General features: G+C 39.3%; 1 protein-coding gene across 13 annotated transcripts in view; it reads right to left on the bottom strand.

Moving 5' to 3' along the window:
• Positions 1-7,054: 7,054 nt before the first annotated feature.
• The window catches only part of CALHM4 (calcium homeostasis modulator family member 4), a 32,085-nt gene continuing 16,703 nt past the window's right edge, over positions 7,055-22,436 (bottom strand). For 7 of the 13 annotated variants that reach the window (XM_011535562.3, XM_011535560.3, XM_017010390.2 and 4 more), the window contains 2 exons: positions 13,831-13,942; positions 7,055-10,357 (listed from right to left, as the gene is read on the bottom strand). In XM_011535562.3, the coding sequence (XP_011533864.1) occupies positions 9,971-10,357; positions 13,831-13,942 (499 nt within the window). In that variant the 3' untranslated portion in view covers positions 7,055-9,970. Of the gene's footprint in view, positions 10,358-13,830; positions 14,432-22,436 lie in introns of those variants that run through there. The other 6 variants (XM_017010391.2, NM_001256888.3, NM_153036.5 and 3 more) reach the window with 4 other exon arrangements.

Here is a 22,436-nt window from a genome sequence, read left to right as displayed (position 1 = left end):
TCTCTGCCTTAGTCTGTTTTCTGGACTAAGCTTATAACAGAATACCTGAAACTGGGTAATTTTATTTCCTACAGTTCTGGAGTATTGGAATTCCAAGGTCATGGGGGACATTTGGTGAGACCTTCTTGCATGTGGGGACTCTGCAGAGTACTGAGGTAGCACAGGCCATCACATGGCGAGGGGGCTGAGTGTGCTCACTCAGGTCTCTCTTCTTATTCTACTCCACTACTCCAGCCATACTAGCCTCTTTGCTGTTCCTCAAGCATGCAAGGCAGGATTTCCTCGTAAGGTCTTTGCACTTGCTGTTCCCTCTGGAATGCCGTTCCTCCCATACCCATATGTGTCACCTCCTCCCTTCCTTCAAGTCTTTCCTCAAAGGTCACTTTCTAAATGGGGTTACCCCAACTCGACCACCCTACTTAAAATTACAACCACTCCTAGCACTACCTATCCCCTTTAACTCATTTTTCCCATGCTTCTTTAAAATTACACTATTTATTTATTATGTTTATACTCTTTCTCCCTGTAGTAGAATGTAAGTTCCATGAGGGTAGAAATTTTGTTTACTGTTGTATTTTGGCACATAAGGCAGTACCTAAACAGACTAGGCACTCAGAAAATATTAACTCTCTGAGTGAATGAATGAATCCAAAAGACTGGTAACATGGTACAATTCTAAAAACACTGGACCAGGGGATTATAAGGCTAGGTTATAGGTCTTTACAATGACTTTGTCATATTAATTTGGGTAAGAAACAATCTCTCTGGATCTAAGCTTCCCCATCTATAAAATGAAAGAGTTGGGTAAAACGATCTCTGAGATTCTCTGCAAATGTAAGAGCCTATGATTCCTCAAGATCATATTTATATTGGAGTCAATTTTGTATAGATTTCAAAGTTAGCAGTTAACTTCTCTGCCCCAAGGTGGCATGGCTAAAGGAGTAGTGATATGGTTTGGCTCTGAGTCCCCACCCAAATCTCATCTTGAATTGTAATCCCCATGTGCCAGGGGAAGGGTCTGGTGGGAGATGATTGAATCATGGGGGTGAAAATCCCCTTGCTGTTCTCATGATAGTTCTAACAACATCTGATGGATTAAAAGTGTGGCACTTCCTCCACCCCTCACCACTGTCTCTCTTGCCACCATGTAATACGTGCCTTGCTTCCCCTTTGTCTCCTGCCATGATTGTAAGTTTCCTGAAGCCTCCCAAGCCATGCAGAACTGTGAGTCAATTAAACCTATTTATGAATTACCCAGTCTCAGGTAGTTTTTTTATAGCAGTGTGAAAACGAACTCATACAAGTAGTATTTATGCATGGAGTTGTTTTTCTTCTAACAGCCTTGATGCTAATGTTCTTGAACCATATAACAGATAGGGGCCTCAATTCTGGGCAACAACAAAGCAGAGACAACGCTAGGTCTAAGTGAGCTACACTTCCAGCATTGCCTTGCATGTAAGAACAAAGTATAAGGTGGGAAGACAAGAAATAAAGTTTGTACATGTTCCTTTCCTCTTACCCTAGTAATAACCATTTTGATGTTCTTTGACTTTCCTCCTCTTCCTCCCTCTTTTCCTCTCCCTCTTCACCACTCTCCACAAACCCCTACCTTTGCTTTGGATGTGAAAAGGATTGAGGCATGGGGAGAAGAAAACAAAGGAGCAAAAGAGGTATAGAAGATAGGGTTAGTGAAATGCAATAGAAATGACTTTAAATGTATAGAAAGAAAACAGTTAAAATGAAAAATTTAAATGTAAGTCATCAATTCTCTGGCTTCCTTCAAGGAAATACAGTGAAGGGTTGAGTTGGGGTTACCCCTAAGGTAAGTAGTGTCTTGGTGGCAAAATTTTATTGTGCAGTCCCTGTCTCTATAAACAATCTTATTTAATTGTATTTACAAATGTATTTTTAAAACTCATGGGCCCTTGTAAGATATAATGACTTATTGATGAAGATTTGGAATAAATAATAGAAAATTACTGATGGCAGCTGGAGGTAGATAGGTTCCTAGGTGGGAAGGGGCAAGTCCCCAGTGAAACTCCATCTTCAAGCCAAGGACAGCCTGAAGCCTAGGGGCTGGGCTACCAGTTCCAGGTGAAGTCCCTAACCTGGAGTGAGATTTTCCTTGATACCTTTGGACCAATTAAGTGGCTCACCCATGGGCCAATCAGCATGCATTTCCTCCTGTCCATGGACCGATCAGCATGGTCTTCCTGCATTCTGAGCCCATAAAAGCCGCTGGACTGAGGCCGGCTTAGACACTCATGGCAACTACCTGCCTGCAGTTGGTAGCTGCACACTTTGGGTGTCCTCTTCGCTGGGCGCAGTTCGGTCACCCAATAAAGCTCTTCTCTGCCTTGCTTACCTTCCAGTTTTCTGCATAACCTCATTCTTTCTGGACGAAGGACAAGAACTCAGGACCTGCCGAACAGCGGGAGCAAAAGGAGCTGTAACACTTTTCTGGCCGGTTTGCTGAACTGCAGGCGGGAGCTAAAGGGGCTGTGACATGTTCCTGGCCTGCTTGCTGAGCTGTGGGCGGTGATATGCTCCCAGACTGCAGGAAGGAAGAGTGGCAACCCTTCTGGGGACCTAGATCTTGGGAGTCCCCAAGCCAGAGCTTTAACACTATAGTCCTCCCACCCTCTGCTAGTGCAGGGCGGCTGCCCCATATGACCGAAAGCAGCCGCAGGGCCAGGCCAGAGCGGGGTGTTGAGACTGAAAGACCTATACCACCAAGGGGCTGAAATACACTCCCTCAAACATGGCCCCCATCCCCGCTGCCCACACTGCAGATGACAAGAGGGAGAGAAGAGCTGTGGCCATTCTGGAAGCACAGACCTCGGGGCTCCCTGAGCCAGGGCTGTGACACATTGTAACACCCTCTTTGGAGCTCTGTGGTTCCTGGAATCTCTGAGTTTTTGGGTGCCACCGCGTTCCCCTCGTCCAGACACTCGTGTCTACAGTGGAAGCTGCTTGCGGTATGCCTGGTCCCGCCGCAGTCTCGCTCGGTGACGGTGCCAGGAGCTACCCGCCCCGCTGCGGCAGCTACCCACCCCGCTGCAGCAGCCGGCATGCTTGCTGTGTACAGTGGCCGGACCCCGTACTTGCTCGCTCACACACGCCTTGCCGCTCCGCGCCTGGTTCACTCTCCGCAGGCATAGGATCTGGGCCGGTAGCACAAGCGAGCACGGCCTGCTGGGCCAAGTGGGCTGAACGAGTCCAGCAGGAACAAGCAAAACTCAAGTAGAGGTACCACTGGCCACAGAGGTTTCCAGCTGGTAAAGCAGCACCTGAAGGAGCCTGTGACAATACATATACATTTCTTTTTGTTTAATCAGTTTGTCTGAAGATTCTCTATAGTGTCCAGGCACCATCTCTTTCTATTCAGGAAGAAGAGCCATCTCTTCATGTTCTTTATTGTCAAATGCACTACTGTCTAATTTCATATCTCTCACCATGATTTAGAAGAACAAAAAAAAAAAAAAAAAAAAAGCAGTGCTTCTACACACAATCCCGTGGCTCACTGTCATTTCTAGCAAAACAAAATCGTTCTTCTTGCCTCTGCAGTATCCCAATACCTTTTTTTGTAATGCTGGTCACATCATTACTCGTTAAGCTGCGTCATTCATCCTGCTGCTCCTGAATACTGGCTTCCAAAGTCTTTCTCAAAGAATGTTCTTTATTGATGACCACAAATGGAAATTTTACCCAAAGTATGCAGGAAAATGGGAATGGTTATTTTCCAGTCAGTTAAATTTACTACACATCTTCCAACTATGTCTTTTCTTGAATGCCTTAGGCCATAATCACTGCATTCCTAAAACGATGTCTCTTTTAATGTCGCTGCACCGCACCTTCTACACTTGGCCACCAAGTGGGAAGAAGGGAGAAGGTCCTAAGGGTGGTGCCAGATAAGCAGTTCCATTCCAGTGCAGGGAATGTCCTTGACCAGCCCAAGAGAGCACAGATTCACAACACTGATCTGAAGCCAGAAAGGGACAGCAATCTGTAAGGCCCCTCAAAAGCCATCAGAGAACTGGTAGTAGACACACCACCCCAGAGGACAGCCTGATCCGCGGCACACAGTGGAGACCACCCTGGGCCCAGTGCAGCGGCACACCAAGGAAAGGACCTGCTGCTGCCACCACCTCGCCGGCTCCAGGGCTGCAGGTGGGAGCTGGCACTTCCAGCTAGAACACCCCGGCATGCCATGCTGTGGGAAGAGGGTCGAAGAGTGTAGGGATGTGGGGAAGGGAAGAAACGGGTCCCCGCAGTCTGGTCTGGCTCAGGGCACCCCATGCCAATGAGCCCCAGACAATTTCCTAGAAGGAGCTCAAAACATCAGGCTCCCTGATGGCGCGCAGTACTGAATCGCATATTAAATTATTATTCTAGCTCTGCCAGTAATAACTTGGATGAATTTTGCTTTTTGCATTATCTTCCCCATGAAATATAAACCTGTCTCACAGGACAGCATAGGATCTATTAAATCATCATTGGACTAAAGATGCTTATTTTGTAGGCAGCTTTTCCAAATTCAAGTTATTTCAACATGAAAGAATGACGGCAGGCATAAACTTATCAATAATAGGTCACCTATTATCGACTTATGAAATTTGTGCAATCAATAAAACACCATGTAGATCCAGAGATTGATTGATTGTGCTTTCACATTTGCTTTCTCACATTTGAAATGCTAGCATATGTCTACATTATGAAATAATTTATAGTAAATAGTTCTGTTGATGCCACTAACTGACAACTACAGAAGAAAAATATATTTAAATGTTTATTTGCAGCTTAAGGTAAAACATCCACAAATGCCTATGAAGTTTATATTCAGCTCTTTCTGCACTTTAGCACACTGTAAAATATTAGAGCACATTGTATTTTATTCATAAAATATTATATTATAGATATATTTGTTTTCCAGGAGCAACAGTTTTGCCCAAGGCAGAGTGTCAGCACATATAGAATCAGGATGCTTGTGTTAGAAATGACCTAGAGGTCTTAATCCAGGGAGTCTCATTCAACAGGCTTGTGGGCTCATAAGCTCCTGAAGTGTATTGGCTTGTATATTAGCTTCCTATTGCCACTGTAACAAATTACCACAAATTTAGTGTTTAAAACACTGCAAATGTATTATTTTATAGTTCTGTAACTAAAAGAACAGTATGTAGTTACTACTTTTCTGGCACAGGTCAGACACAGCTCTGAGCAGGCTAAAAGCAAAGTGTCAGCAGAGCTGTGTTCCTTCTGGAGGCTCTTGGAGAGAGTCCATTTCCTGGCTTTTTCCAGTTTCTAGGGACTGCCCACATTCTTTAGCTCATGACCCCCTTATCTTCAAAGCCAGCAATGGCTGATAGAGTCTTTCTCAAGCTGCGTAACTCCGACATTTTTTGACACTCCTTTTCTGTTGTCACTTTGCCTTCTCTCTGACTCGGATTCCTCCTACAGTCCTTTTATAAGCACCCTTGTGATTACATTGGGCCCACCTAGAAAATCCAGGATTATATCTTCACATCTCAAAATCCTTACCTTGATCTATCTGCAAAGTCTCTTTTGCCATATTGAGTCACATTCACAGGTTCCAGGGATAAGCATATGGACATCCTCAGGGAGCCATTATTTAGCCTACCACGGTATTGAGAACTCTGAGGTATGTGAGCTGGTGTCTATGTGTATGTACTGGATATGTCCTCAGAACAGCTTCCCCAGAATGGCTCGTCAAAGGGGTCTGTGATTCAAAATGGTTTAATCAACCACCTTTGCAATTTAACCACCCTCTCCTTTCTCGTGGAGGGGAAAATTGAAGTCCCAGAGAGGCTGGCTTGTGCAAGACAACATAAATGATAGGAGATGGTGTTTTCCTGATCCCTGTTTTGACACTTCATAACTATGGCCTACTGAAAATAAATGGACAGATTACAGTAGTGCCATGCCCATGCCATGCATGAGAAAGAGAATACCTGATACTCCAGAGCAGGTTTGTTGTTAGTCTGCGGCTAATAGAATCAGTGCCACTGGCTGTTGGGGAGATCAGGTCCAATGTTATGCCCCAGTGAGAGTGGACAGGTCACTTTGCTAAGAAGCATAGTGCCTTGAAAGTGGGCCCTGATGTATGCAGGTATGATTTAGGTGGAAAGAGAGCGACTTACGTGATATGGCAACACACGGTCAGAGCCCAGGATGTTTCAGTTATTCATCGACAGAAGTATTAGGGATATCCTCCTAACACCTACAAGGCCTTGGAAGATTGATAACGTACCTCATTGCTGTATTCCAGCACAGTGCTGCAGAGTGCAGGGTCCAGGGGTGGATTCTGGCTTCAACCCTTACGTGACCCTTGGCACATTGCTTGATTTCTCTGTATCTCAATTACTTCTCTGTATCTCAGTTACTCAATGAATTAATAAAGAATTAATGTTATTTAATATCATTTCAGCAAGTTACTTTCTAATGGGTGACTATTTGTCACGTGTCCAAAGGTGTAACTAGGATAATTTGTTAAAAGTTACTGGCATACAGAGAGCACTACTTGTTTTTGCTACTACTACTGTCACCACAGATGGGTGCAGACACCTGTTTTGACCACTGGGTGGCAGCAGAGGAAACCATACTTGAAATCCATGCGTTTTGTTTTGTTCCTGAAGTTCTGGTATACTGAAATTACAGAAGCTTAATCATACTTGGTTGTTACTGCAGAAAAATAATCAGGTCAGGAATACTACAGTTTGCCTCTCTGGAAATACCATTTATTGCTCTTCGGTCCAGACGTCACATTTATGGATTTACGCCCCCCAGCTCAAGAAGCCAGTTGCGTAGCAGTCTACGCTCTTCAGCCTGCCAGTATCTGTTCTTTATTGACTGGTACTAAATTTCTGTAGACTCTATTTAGAAGTTAAAGTTGTATCTCCACACCTTATGTTTTCAAGATAGCAAATATCTACCTAGTCTTGCATTCAGAAGGCCTTTGGTTGGCCATGATACTTCAAACTTTTATAGGATTAATGTGATGTCCCTTTGTGATACAAACCAAATGCAAGAAAACAACTAGCAAAATCTCACTGTTGTTTATTACAATCATGCATTAGAATTTCTACAAAAAATGAATGGAAGACTGAGAACAGAGAAAAGAGACACAGAGAAGGACAGAGTATAAATGCGGTTCTACAATTCAGCTTTGGAAAACATAAAGAAAGCTGAGTAAAACACATTTACACATTGGTTTGTATTTGTCTCCTGGGAAGGTGGCAACTTAGGTCATGATGGGACCGTGGAGGAGCTAATGAAATTAAGAAAGGAGCAGGTTTATATATGTCAAGCTCCAGGGTTTGATGTGGTAGCCAAAAGCATTTGGTAGCAAAATATAAAGTAGTATTAGCACATAATTGACTTTAATTATATGTTTTATAATTACATAAATCCATTAAGCATAAAGGGGAGGGAGTACCATGTTCTTAATGAAAAAGTTTCATTTAACTAGCTGTGGAGCAAAAAAATGCTATAGACCATAGCCCCCCCCCCCCCCAAAATACTAAAAATTCCATTTATTTGATCTGAGATAGATAATGTACTGTAAGATGAAATCCCAGGGGTGTGTACTACCTTTTAAATGTTCACATAGATGCTATAAATCATTCTGAAGCCATGTAGAAGAGCCAACGAATACTTAGAATCCTTTGCCAGAAAGTTATAGGGGAAGATCATGATTAACTGGCTCAAAATATAAAATTTTTACATCATACACTAAAAGAGTTTGATGTAGAAGGGCTTCAGAAGCTAGTGGAAATAGTTTCCTGGTATTAGGGTATAAACAACTATTAATCTTCTTTCTGATGATGTAATGCTATAACTTCAAATATTCTTTGATTTTGTTGTTAACCGAAAATCTTATTGAAGAGTCTTTACTGTGGTATAGTTCCTGACAACTAATAAACTAATTCTGAGCATGGTTGAAAGTGTTCATTTAACTAGTATGTTCCAATACAGAAGAATATAAAAAATTATCAGTTATATAGGAACAGAATTTTAGAACTGGAGCAGACCTTAGGGAACAAAATGGATGTGACATTCCATATTTACACAGTTCATTTGTATCAGTGTGGAACTAGAACCCTAGTTGCCTTCCACAACATACTTCTATTTGTATTTTTAACATCCTTCATGTAATGTCATATCAGTACTGAGTGTAGAGTTAGTAGACAAACTGGAATGGCTTTCCTTGATGACTTGAAAAAGATCAGTACATTAACATTCTTTTAAAAGTGGAATGCCAGTAAATGTTTTCAGAGAAAGCTCAGATTCAGAGTTGGGGACATTTTCCTTCCAAGAGAAGCAACGTGGGTCTACTACCATTTCAGAAAGATGTATGCATATTGACCTGTATATATATATAAACATAAACATAAAAATCGTACTTGATGTAAAAGAGACCTTAAGCAGTTATTTAGTTCAGTTATTTTCTTCCAAGAGGTAAAATATTATCATCCCTTTTATTGTATAGATGAAAAAAATCCAGGGTCCAGAGAGATGGACTGATTTGTCCAAGGTCAAATGACAGATGAGTAATGGTGAGGGCAGGACAGTTCTCCTGTCCCAGCAAAGAGCTACAATATGCAGTCTCTTATTGAAGGACAAAACAAAACCTGAAAACATTTTGATTTCTTAAAAATTCATTTTCTGCTTCTTCCTATTAAGTTCAAGGACCCAGAACTTTATAGAAAATAAAACCTTCCATAATTGTGTAAAAGTAGATTACCAAGTAATTGATTGCATTTTAGATAGTATAGTCAAGTTCCTTGGTCTCCTTGAAAGTGAATCTTGAAAATTGGATTGACTATTGGCAGTTGGTCCACTGTCCAGTAAGCATTGTTTTGACTGAAGAAATAAATAGACAGAATGCCCTCAGACAACTTATTTTTGCTAATGAGCAAGTTGCTTCAGTGAACGTAGCAAAAATCAGGCACGAGTCACTATATATCACAGAAATAATCTAGATAAATTAGAAAATTGTCCAGATACTGTAGGCTGCATTTAGTAAAGCCAGGCAGAGCAACACCAAGCAGGAATTATCCTCTTTTGTAGTTACAGATAATGGATATACAAGTACAGACTGCAGTTTTGGTTTCACAAATGGATTTTGAGTGCAAAGGTGCAATTTGGTAATGAAAAGGTACAAATGGTATCTCTGGAGTAGAGCACAGTGGAGAAGCTTTCTAGAAGAAACTTTATATGTAGTGGCCATAAAAATGCTCCTAGTATGGAGGTGCTACAAATAACATGATACTAATAATGATAAATAATATATCATTGTCCCCAGGTTATAGTACAGTAACTCAAGAGCTTCCTGCATGGGCTTCTCCCTCACATGTTACTGGATTAGAAAGAGGTTTCTGTCCTGCTTCCCAAAAGGTCAGATATTTAGGTCTGAAGAAAGAGGGGGAGGCTGTGAAAAGTTCTGGACATTATATAAAGGTAGAAACTGATAAAACCAGAAAATAGAGGCAGGGAAAATGGTGAATAGAAGACATGGAATGCAAAAGAGAAAGAGAGAAAGTAACATTCATTAGCATCTATTTTTATGAAAGACACTGTGCTAAACACTTTGTATTATCATGTTTAATTCTCATAATAGCTCTAGGAGGTAGCTACAATGTGCAGATGACAAAATGGCACTCAGAAATATTAATTTTCACACAGCTACTAAGTAACAGAACTAAGATGCAAATTTCCATGTGACTTCACATTCCACTCTAGGCATTACCAGACCATTGGCAAAATTTCAAAATGAGAGATTGGCACAATTATCTAATAGATTGATTTTAGAAATAATATTTGAGATGGACTTACGTAAACAAATATCAGAGAGAAAGAAAAAGATGAAGAGATTACATTGAAATGGCCTGATCATAAAAGCCATAAAAGCCAAGTATCTGCTAAGCAACCTGACTCATGAAAGGTGCTGTAATCAAGGTTTTAATTCAATACCTCTTGATCTGTCTTCCTCATTATCCTCATCCACCCTATTTCCAAGGAAGCTATAGTGACCTTGCAAGTCATCACCCATGCATAAAAGAGTGGGTACTGAAATATCTTTCCAGTCCTGACAAGAAGGAATGCGGATGTGTTTGACGTCTTCACTCCCGGGAATGAAGCCAAATAGCTTCTTTATGCGATGCATCATGAGGAGCCGAGAGTGCTGCTCTGCTGCTTGTTCAAAGAGTTCTCTCTCATTCTGGAGGTGGCTGGTCCAGTAGCAATGTTGCAGAGAGGTGAGGGGAGAGCAGCACTTTGCCACACAGCAGGAGACTAAGGCAGCAATGGTTGCCAAGGTGATCAAAATCCAACCCAGCATCTTCACATCATTATTAAAAAGAAAAACAGGAAGTATCAATGCATCAAATATTCAAGCAACAGCCATGGGAGGGGGGATTCCTACAAACCTAAGAACTAAAATATGGACATAAAATTTGCTTTTCCCATCTTTAGTATATCAACAACGTGCTAATGATATGATTTGGAAATAGGTCTGATGGAGGGCATAGGCCCAGCCATTTCAACTTCGTTTTTGAGTTACAAAGAAATTTGACCAGTTAACTTGGAATGGATTCTAAGTACTGTCCTTGAAGTGACAGATGCTATAACCCACCAATTAACCTTACATATGATACATACCTTTCTTTGCTTTTAGTTCAACCTTACTTCTCAACTATCAGTTATAGGCCTATGCATTCTTTGGGTGTTTAATAAGTATTTGATAATGATGGTGATGAAAATGATATGATACATAATAATAGTAACCTTCTAAGGCATTTTCAATGATGTACCAACAGGTGTTCACTGATATTTTTTCCTGAATTGCACTTTCCTCTTATCTTTTGCAGCTAAAAAGCAAGTCAGTGAAGAGACTCATGTTTCTAAATGTATTATAAATAGCATAGTTGGCTGGGTGTGGTGGCTCATACTTGTAATCTCAGTACTTTGGGAGGTCAGGCAGGCGGATCACTTGAGGCCAGGAGTTTGAGAATAGCCTGGCCAACATGGTGAAACCCTATTTCTACTAAAAATACAAAAATTAGTCGGGCATGGTGGCACATGCCTGTAATTCTAGCTACTCGGGAGGCTGAGGCACGAGAACTTCTTGAACCCAGAAGGCAGAAGTTGCGCTGAACCCAGATCATGCCATAATAATGCTCAGGTGACAGAGAGAGACTCCATCTCAAAAAAAAAAAAAAAAAAAGATTAAAAATAAATGAATAGCATAGTCACTGTGCCATGTAGTAACATATTGTTTTCCTTTTCATTTCCCTTGTCCTCAAATAATCATTTGCTGACCAGTCTCATTATGTGTCTTTGAAACATACTTTAAAAGGAAAATGAACTAGTTTTTGAGACTATTTAGTGTCGGCTTTTAAAGATTGAATCAAATGGCTGTTTTCTATTCTTAGAATCCTTTTTTTCTTTTCATTTTACTGTTTTCAATATTTTGCACTTCTTATGTAAAGTGAGAGAGGTAAGTTCCACATATTTAGGGACGCTAGCAGTATGCAGCCACAGCTTGGGTAGTGAAGGCCTCTTCTGCATCTTGTGATTTACCAACAGGCCTGAAGTTTCCAGTGTGTGCACAGTGGGATAGTTGTACTCTACGGAGGCTAAAACCTACAAAGTGGTATTTATTACCATTTAACTAAACAGAGGCCAGCATGGCGGAGGAAAAGCCATCTCAGATGCCCATTAACCTATAAACAATCATTTACTGAGCTCCAGGTTGACCTTCCCCCATGTGTAATACATGTGCTTGGTTATGGGGAACTCAGATGTGAATAATTAAAGATGCATTCATTTTCTCTATAATTTTTAAGCCTAAAAAAGGAGACAAATGAGCAATCCAAGAAATATGGTACAATGGGATAGTTTTTGATATGAGTAATCAGAGCACCCGAGGAAGCACAATGGAATGAACTCACTTAAGGGAAAGGATTATCAGGGAATACTTCCCAGAGGAGATAATGCAAAAGCCTAAATTATTAAAAAGAAGTTCATCAAATGCAAGAAGGTAAAGAGAGTTCTAAGAAGGTAAAGGAAAATAGCATGAATAGTTGGCAGAACCTCAACACATTTGGACTCACATGCTCATAGGAGTCATGTAAAAGTGGTCAAGGGCCAGATGTTGAAGCCTTGCATGTTATGCCAAGAAAGTGGGTTTGTTCTTAGGCTAGTAGAAAATCACTGAAGGGCTTTATATGCAGTAGGGAAGGGATCTCATCATTCAATTTGCACTTAGAAAGATATTTTTGGCATATATCTAGAAGGCAGATTGACATGGAGTGAAGTTAATGTGAGGAAGATATTTTAGAATAGGGCATGGGCAAAGAAAAGATTTGAATTCAAGGTGATTTTGTGGTCAATTCACAAAAATCTAACTGAAAAATAATGTATATTCTTGAAATGTGACTGAGACAGTCACAGAAGATGGCCTAGTGAAATGGAAATAGCATGATCTTGGGATATCTTGATCCAGTTTATTAGCCCTGAATTATACAAGTTACATAAACTTTTTGAGCTTTGATTTACTTATCTGTAAAATGGGGTAGTAATATCAGTCTCTCAATATTATCAGGACTAAATTAAGATATGAAATATTTATACAGTATGTGATAAGTACATCAATAAATGTAAGCTTTGTTGTCACAAAACCAAACAATCTACTGGCAATGGTACTCAGAACTGTAAAACTGTCTTTTCACAGAAATCTGTGTATGCGTTTAATAACACATTTTGTTTTGACTTTAAGAAAATCTTACCAATGTGTGTTACATTTTAGCTTTTCTTAAGCAAGAAAATTATTTTAAGTTATAATTTTTCTATTGATTTTTTGAATTTTCACATATTTTTACATAGCTCCTCTGAGCATTAGGGCTAGTATTAAAAAAGTTAAGACAGAGCATATCTAATGGTATTTCTAACTTTTTAAAAACTGGGCCATATTGCAATAACTTGATATTCTGTGTCTTGATAGTAGCTTTTCCCAACGAAATAACTTTAGCATTTCTGAAATGTAATAACTCTAAGGTTACCAGTCAAAAAATATGCACGCCTTTGCAATAAGTAGTTTTAAAAAGCCATGTTTTTACTATATGATGATGATTTCAAAATGTGTTTTTTCCTCAGATCCCTTGGAGAAATTGATGACAGCAGTGTCACTCTTTCTACTGACAAAATGCACAATAGCACTTTTAAAATTCAACCTATAAATGTAGTAGGGTTCAGGCTTTCTTCCCACCCCACCTCACTTTCTGACATAAACCTATCCATAGACACCAAATTTAGAATCATAACTGGAGTTATTTTTCATCATAATTAAGCTTCTTATAATTTTAGATGAGATAGTAATATATAAGAATGCATATTTAAGAATATATATATACAGAAAATGGGATTTACTAATATAGCAATAATAATATTCATAACATCTAAAATCTATTGTTCTTAATATAGATTCTAGAAATCATATTAAACACTCCAGATATATTGGTAATGTATTCCCCACAGCAGCCCCATGTGGTAGGTGCCATGAATATCCCCATTTTACTCAAGGTTTTGCAGGTTAATAAGTGGCAAAGCAAGACTAAAACTCAGTTCTGCTGACTCCAAAGCCCAACATCCTAACTATATATATTTGCTCAGTAGAACTCACTTTGATGAACAGCATCTAGTATTGTGTTCTATAATCAGAGAATATAAGAAGCAGTAGGAATCTGAAATGTTTCCATTGACTGTAGTTCTATAGGATAACATAGCAGAGGGAAAAAAATTCTAAAAACTTACCTGTGACTGGTATCTGTGCAGAAGAGCTATTTCATCTCTTACTAGGATCACGTCAGAAGGAGCTGATCTGCAACATGGAAACCCAGCCAGGATCTCTTCTCGTTTGCTGGCACTGACATTATCAAACATTGGGTAATGGTCCACAGATGCAAATTCACTTGCTGCACATTCATAATACGTGCCTGTCAGCAGGGTCACCGCCAGCCAAGTTAAAGGAGCAATAACTGCCCTCCCAGTGATGCTGAAGAACCTAAGGCAAGCCAGCTTGCACTCTAGGGGGCTGATTCTCCTGTATGGAGGGGCACAGCTGCAGCAGTATTCACCGGTAATTGTCCACATTTGGCTTCTCAGAGCAAAGCCAGCAACGAGAAGGATCAAGGCAGGAATGACAAGAAAAGCAGAACCATAATAGAAATTTTTTCCAACCTGACAAGGACAGCTGAATGTAGAAGAGGAGAAGAGTTGTTGCCCACCAATAGTCAAGGCTGCAATTAAAGAATTGATAAATATTCCATTTCTCTGCAGAGAAGACACAATATTGTTGAGAGTTGGGCACATCTTGGGAAGCTGTTACACAAATCAGCTTGTGGCCCTTTCTGATCATTAGACTCCACCAGCTATAACCATTTTATGGGATCTTACTGGTTTAACTGGTTGTGTCAAGTGATCCAACATCCTTACATGTTTAAAGGATTCTAGCATCTTTCCTTGTGTACTTTGAAAACCCTGAGCTCAGATTGATTACAGCTGAAAGAAATTGAGGGAGAGCTCCTTTAGGTATGAGTGAAGGGGGGAGTTTCTTTTTTTTAACTATAATAAAAGGAGGGTGGCTTGCTTAGAAAGCAGACTGCCTCCATCTTTCTATGTGCTGCTTTGTATGACACAAAATGCTGAGCACCAGCAAATAGAGCATTGAAAGCAAAACAGAGACATTCTTAACCTTGTACTAGACTAGAATCTCGTCACCATAAAATTATAATAAAATGAATAATGGAAATTATTAAATACTAGAGCAATCCAAAATTTAGGGCTGGCTGGAATGTTCCTAAGGGTTCTGCTAGAAGAGCTCAAAAGATTTCCCCAAGGAAAGAACAAGGCTAGATGCCCCTAAAGCCAAATCACAACAAAATATTCTAACTTTGCATAAAAATTTTAAATCTGCTTGCATTGACAGAATATTGCTATATGCTGCTTAAAAATTTAAGTTGCAGATTTGTTTATATGTATCTTTTTGTTATATGAAAATGTGATATTTGTTTTGTTGTTGTTGTTGTTTTTGAGACGGAGTCTCGCTCTGTCGCCCAGGCTGGAGTGCAGTGGCGCGATCTCGGCTCACTGCAAGCTCCGCCTCCCGGGTTCACGCCATTCTCCTGCCTCAGCCTCGTGAGTAGCTGGGACTACAGGCGCCCGCCACCACGCCTGGCTAATTTTTTGTATTTTTAGTAGAGACAGGGTTTCACCGTGTAAGCCAAGATGGTCTCGATCTCCTGACCTTGTGATCCGCCCGCCTCGGCCTCCCAAAATGCTGGGATTACAGGTGTGAGACACCTCGCCCGGCCGATATTTGGTTTTTAATAAAGTTATATATCTATAAACAAAAAGTAAGATGTTTTCTGTGTGTATTTAACCAGTAAATATTTATTATAGAATTTCTATATAAAGGGCACTGAACTAGGCTTGACTGGGTTTATAAAAAGTGAATATGATATACATTTTCTCTTCTCAAATAAACTTTTAACTGGACATGGTTAAATACATAATTAGTGAAAGGAAATGTAGTACTGAGAAATTCACCCAAAATGCAGTACAGACAAAGAAATAAAATAATTATTTTTGAAAACAGTTAAGCAACTACACAATCTGTCTAGTAGGAGTTCTGGAAGAAAAAAGGAAGGAATAGACAGGCAATATTTGAAGAAGAAATAACTGAGAACTTTGCAGAATCAAAGAAAAGTTCTTATATCTGAAGAATGTTGGTAATTCTGAGCAATATAAAGAAAAATAAACGCACAACTAAACACAGAATAAAACTGCAGAATGTGAAAAAATAGATATTCTTTAAAACTACCAGAAAGAAAAAAACAGATAATCTACAAAAGAACGGCAATGACTGACAGCAGACTTCTCATCAATAACAATAAAGACCAGAAGATATTATCTTCAGAGTGCTTAGTACCAGCCAAACTATCATTCAAGATAGAGCAAAATAAAGACACATCAAGGCTAAGGGAATTTACCATCCACAGAACCTCATTAGGAGGATTACTAAAGGATATATTACAGCAAAAAGGAAAATGAGCCCCAAGGAAAGACACAGGAGCAAAAAATAATGATGGGCACAAGTATAATCTTTTAAAAGTCCATTCAATTCAGAAATAACTAATTTTTATTTCAAAATATACAACTAAAGCTATATATTATTATAATAAGATGTCACTACATATCTACTAAAATGTCTAAAATAAAGACTAGCCATACCAAATGTTGGCAAGGAGGCAGAGCAACTGAAATTCTCATACACTGATGGTGGGAATGTGAAATGGAGTAACCACTTTGGAAAATTGTTATTTTATTTAAAAGGTAGCCATACATCTGCCATATAACATAAGCGTGTGTCTCCTAGTTACCTACACAAGAGAAATGAAAGCACATGTCCACATGAAAACTTGCACATGAATGTCCATAGCAACCCTATTTAGAATAGCCAAAAGCTGGAAACAACCCAAATGTTCATCAACAAAGGAATGAATCAACAAAGTATTATACATTCATACAATGGAATACTACTCAGCAAAAAAAAAAGGATAAAACAATTGAAGTAATGGCAAAAACCACAATTACATTTGCACCAACCTGATATATATTAATACAATAACTTGAATGAATTCAGAAATAATTTTCCGGATGAAATAATTCAGGAAAAGGAGTACATAATGTATGATTCTTTTAATGTAAAATTCTAGGAAATGTAAATTAATCTATACCGACAGAAAATAGACCAGTGCTTGCCTAGGAAGTCTGGAAGTAGGGATAAGAAGAGAGGGATTACAAAGGAATATGAGAAATATCCCTTTGTAATTCTGGGGTTATATCAACTTGTGCCACGGAATTTTAATTTAGAGAGCTGACTGAGTGACAACACAAAGAGGCCAATGCCATTTAAATAATTTATTGCCACATAAGGTCACGGGGGTGCATCAGGTTTGGTCAGGGGACAGAAGGAAGCAGGGAAAGCCTAACTAGAGCCTTTATTGGGCACTCTGTGGAAAAGGCAAGGCAGGGCAGGGAAAACACTTAGGGTTGGCTAGCTTAAACAATTCTGATTGGCCTTGGGGCACAGAGGTTAGCCCTACGTGCCCGCGACCTGGCCATAGTTTATTTAGGGGAGGGTAAACATTGGCTTGGTGTATGAGAATTAGATAAGGAAGTGGTTCAGAGTATGGTCTCTGATCACAGGGCAGATGTAAGCAACTTGGCCATTATTTGACCTAGTAATTAATGGATGCCACATAGACAAATACAGAATCTGAGAAAATACAACTAGGACAGGGATGATGGAAATGTTAATTATATTGATTTATTTGGTGGCTTCAGGCGTATAAGTGTAATCACTAAAAGAATAGAAATCCAACGCATAGATAATTCAAAAAAGAGGAAATACAAAGAGAATATTGACAGGAAAGGAGAGAGTAAACAAGGGAAAGAGGATGGTAAAGAGAAAACAGAAAATAATGGTAGAAATGGGACTAAATACATCAATAATCACAACAAAAAATTTTTTTCAACAGCTAACAGTTACTGATACTAGGCACTGCTCTAAGAACTTTATGTTATTTAATTCCTACAATAACCCTATGATGAGATACTAATATTATCCTCAATGTTTTTATAGATGAGAGGACTAAGGTGTGGAGAGATTACCCAGGAAAATTACCCTGGCACTTCTGCCCATCACACACAGATGAGCGGAAGTGCCAGGACTGGGACTCAGGTGGTCTAACACATGCTTTTAACCACTGTTCCAGAACTAGATTAAACTTTACCTACAAAGTCACTGAAAAATAGAGTCATGCTGCTTACGAGTGACACTCTCAAAACTATACCACACACAATGCTTGAAAATAAAGGTACTGAAATATATATCAATGGGAACAATAATATTAATAGAAGGCAAAACTTAACTAAAAAGTGTCACAAGGAATAATTTTGGCAATTGTCAACTTGTAGTCTGTGATTGTATAACTTTGAAATATATAAAGCAATAACTGATCAAATTATAAAGAAAAATTTTTATAATTATGGATGTGTGTGTGTGTGTGTGTGTGTATATATATATATATATATATATATATATATATATATATATATATAATTTAAGATGGAGTTTTGCTCTTGTCGTCCAGTCTGGAGTGCAATGGCATGATCTCGGCTCACTGCAACCTCTGCCTGCCGGGTTGAAGCGATTCTCCTGCCTCAGCCTACCGAGTAGTTGGGATTACAGGCATGCACCACCATGCCCAGCTAAATTTTGTATTTTTAGTAGATACAGGGTTTCACCATGTTAGCCATGCTGGTCTCAAACTTCTGACCTCAGGTGATCCACCTACCTCGGCCTCCCAAAGTGCTGGGATTACAGGCGTGAGCCACCACGTCTGGCTGGAGAGATATTTTTAATATACTTTTATCAGAAATGAATCCATCAAATAAATATCAGAAAATATATAAAATATACAAAGAACAAACTTAGCAAGTTTTGTCTGAGAGTTTTATATATATAAATAATATATAATGTATTTACATTTCAAAACAGCTAGAAAAGAGGTCTTGAAATGTTCTCAACACATACAAATGATAAATACTCAAGATGATGGATACGCTAAATGCCCTAACTTGATCACTGTATATTCTATCCATGTACCTCATAATATCATGTATCAACACAAAAATTTAAAAAAGCAAAGCCTGAAGTGTATATAGTGACATGTTCAGTAAAGCTCAATAGTAAATGCCACATCTTTCCTTAGGCTTATACTTTTATTTTTATTTTTTACATATATGTACATTTTGAGACGGAGTCTCACTCTGTCACCCAGGATGGAGTGCAGTGGCACCATCTCAGCTACTGCAACCTCCACCTCCCAGGTTCAAGCGATTCTCTTGCCTCAGCCTCCCAAGCAGCTAGGATTACAGGTGCCCTCCACCACACCTGGCTAATTTTTTTGTATTTTTAGTAGAGATGGGGTTTTGCCATGTTGGCCAGGGTGGTCTCGAACTCCTGACCTCAGGTGATCCACCGACCTCGGTCTCCCAAAGTGTTGGGATTACAGACGTGAACCACCATGCCTGGCCTTCTTATGTTTAAAATTTTATATTTAAAAATGAACTTAATTAAAGTACAGATGGTCCCCACCTTACAATTGTGTGAAGGCAATACACATTCAGGAGAAACCCTACATCAAACATGCACACAACCATTCTGTTTTTTATTGTCAGTGCAGTATTCAATAAATTACATGAGATATTCAATACTTTATTATGAAATAGGCTTTCTGTTAGATGATTTTGCTCAACTGTAGGCTAATGTAAGTGTTCTGAGCATGTTAAGGTAGGCTAGCTTAAGCTATGCTGCTCGGTACATGAGGTATATTAAATGCACTCTGACTTCTGAATGGTTTGTCGGGATATAACCCTATCACAAGTTGAGGAGCATCTGTATAAGGGGAGTGAGGAAGTGGGGAAGGAAATTGTAGACCATTCTTTCAGGGAAGTATGTAGTAAAGGATGGAGCATAGATTGATTAGAAAACATTATTGGATTGTAAAATTCTTGCTGTAAAGGAGTTTGTAGATGATAAATTCCCAAGTTTTACTATTGCTTACTGTTGAAAGAACTAATCACTTCATCTGCAGTGCCAATGTGTAACTTGCTAATGACTGTGAATGATTACATTTATGAGTAATCAATTTTCTTAGTTCTTTTGTGATGCTATAATACTTCAGACTAGTATAAACACCAGAAATTTATTTTTTACAGTTCTGGAGGTTGGGAAGTACAAGATCAAGGTGCTGGCATTGTTTTTTGGCAAGGGCTCTTCTCTGCTTCCAAGATGGCACCTTGTTGCTATATCCTCACATAGCAGAAGAGCAACAAAAGTCTAAGCTATTTCCTTCCAGCCCTTTTATAAGGTGCTAATTCATTCATAAGGGCAGAGCCTTCATGACCTAATCGCTTCCCCAAAGGCCCCAACTCTTAAAACTACCACAATGGGCATTAAGTTTAAACACATAAATTTTAGGGACATTCAGACCTTTGCCTTCTCTGATAGTTTGCGGGTGATCATACAACCGACAGATCAGCGGATGTCATCCTCTATTAGCACCTTCCCAAGTGTCTACTCTGCTGCCCATGTATTCCCAAAGGACCAGCATAGGGGCATAGCTCAATTCACCATTTACTTGGGTTGGTTGACTGCAGTGCAGTTTTACCAGACTGAAGAATGTGTCTTTCTCCTAACCCCAGTTCCAGATTTAGTCCTAACAAGACTAAAGAACTCTTAGTAAAACAGGAAAAACTTTGCTTATGCATTATCTTGGAATAATTCTTTCCTAGTTGGCTGCCAGGGCAGACATTATAGATCATGTACCCGCTTGAAACATCATCTCTGTGCTTTCTTCTATTTAAGGGAGGAGTACATTTACATTAAAAAAGGAGTCTGGGGAACACAGGGCTCACTTGCATCCTAAGAGCTGCTGAAGACTAGCAGGTTTCATAGACTGAAAACCAGCAAACCAGTGTCCCCTGTGATGATGAGTACAGCTGTGGTCGTGAAGGTTGTGCTTTGTACAGTAGCACCTGGCAGGGGCTCTGCTCCTTCCTTAAGCTCGTGTCTTGACTGGAAGGTCAATGGAGCAGAGGGGAGCCATGTCAGTCTGAAGTAAAAGCCGGCTTTTTCTAATACATCCAATGACATCCCGAATTCTCCCGATGGCCATAATGTGACCATACCACAGCCATTAGAGTTTGGTGAAATTGATTCCAGTACCGCCATCACCTCGCAGCAAGCACACAGGCCCTTTGTAGGTTATTCTCTGGGGTATCTTACTCAGAACTAGGATTGCCCACAAATTGACCCAGCAACATGCTGTCCCTGCACCTTAGTAAGCTTTTTGAGTCTGCCTCTAAAATAGTTTGCTCTAACATAATTAGAGTGTGTGCGGTACAAAATAAATTTGACTTGGAATCATCAAAATTAGCCCAAATCCCTTCTTGTTGCCAACATCCAGATAACCTTGAATACATTTCTCAACCTCTCTACTTTTAGATTCTTATCCTGTAAAATGGCCATGATTACAGTACTATTTCACAGATTGTATCTGAATTAAAATGAGATGAAGAGAACGAAAACCATGTTGTAAACTGTAAATTTGATATACATATAAGTCGTTATTATTTGCTACTGAAAAACTCTCCACCCCATACCCCACAACTAAGTGAAATTAATTTTCCTGAGATCATAGTGTCATAGAACATATGCAGTGATGGAAATGCCTTAGGTATTGTAGAATTCCATTCAATTTATCCAACCACAAGAATAACCTATAGTAACTAGTTATTATATGGTGCATTTTAATGTGTTTTACGGTACGCCTCGTCTCTTTGGTTCTCACAATTATTCTGTGAGGTGAGTGATATTGTTGCCATTTTGCAAATGTGGAAACTGAGTCATAGAGCAATAAAATGGCTTGCCCAATGCCACACAGCCAGTAAATGGTAGGGCTGCAACAGCCTGAGCCTTCCAAATCCTCCTAGGTTCTTTCAACTACACCACACTTTTCGTCAAAGTATTCTTGAGTTTGTCACTTTATAGCAAGAATTTTCCAGAACAAATAGGACTAATGGACTCAAACTATAAGTAGAAGAAAATTACTTTCCTAAACTGAGTTTTCCGCTTCCATTTCTGGAAAGATTTTGATCCTACTCTGCACCCTGCAGTTGTCAAGGTGAAAGGATTTTTTTATTTGAACTTTAAGTATTTCTGCGTAAATAAAGAGAGCCTTCAATAGCTTACGTCTCAGGAGCTCTCAAAAGAAAGCTAAGGGCTTACTTTCTCTATCAGAATCATTATACATTATGATACTGTAGAGCGCCCATTTTGAACAACAGTTTTGTAAGAAAATATTGCCCATTCTATCACTCCTTAATGTTGTTGATTGCTGCTAATGAAAAGCAAAAAAGTTACCAGATATATTTGAATACTGTAATCACACAAGATAGGGATCTATGGTTTTGGGGACAGTGTGATAACCATTGGTGTAGTTGAGGGATCACGTTTTAACTCAGGATTTATTACCTACAGATTGCTGATCTTGTCTCTCTAATTCTTACAACAATCAATCCAAGACTGAATAATGCTAACATTTAGATCTATCTTGGATTGCGAAGGTTTCTGTTTCTGATTTTAAAACAATGTCTTGGCCTGAGAACAAAACACCACTCTTGAACTCCCTCGGGCTAAAGAATTTTTTGAGTTGCAGTGCTTCAGGTCTGACTTCACATTATCAGCTTTTATGGCTCTAGATTACAATTCATCCTTACAAATGAAGCAG

This window comes from Homo sapiens, chromosome 6 (assembly GCF_000001405.40).
Source record: "Homo sapiens chromosome 6, GRCh38.p14 Primary Assembly".
In the NCBI taxonomy this organism is placed as follows: Eukaryota; Metazoa; Chordata; class Mammalia; order Primates; family Hominidae; genus Homo; species Homo sapiens.
This window is presented reverse-complemented; position numbering and strand designations above follow the sequence as displayed.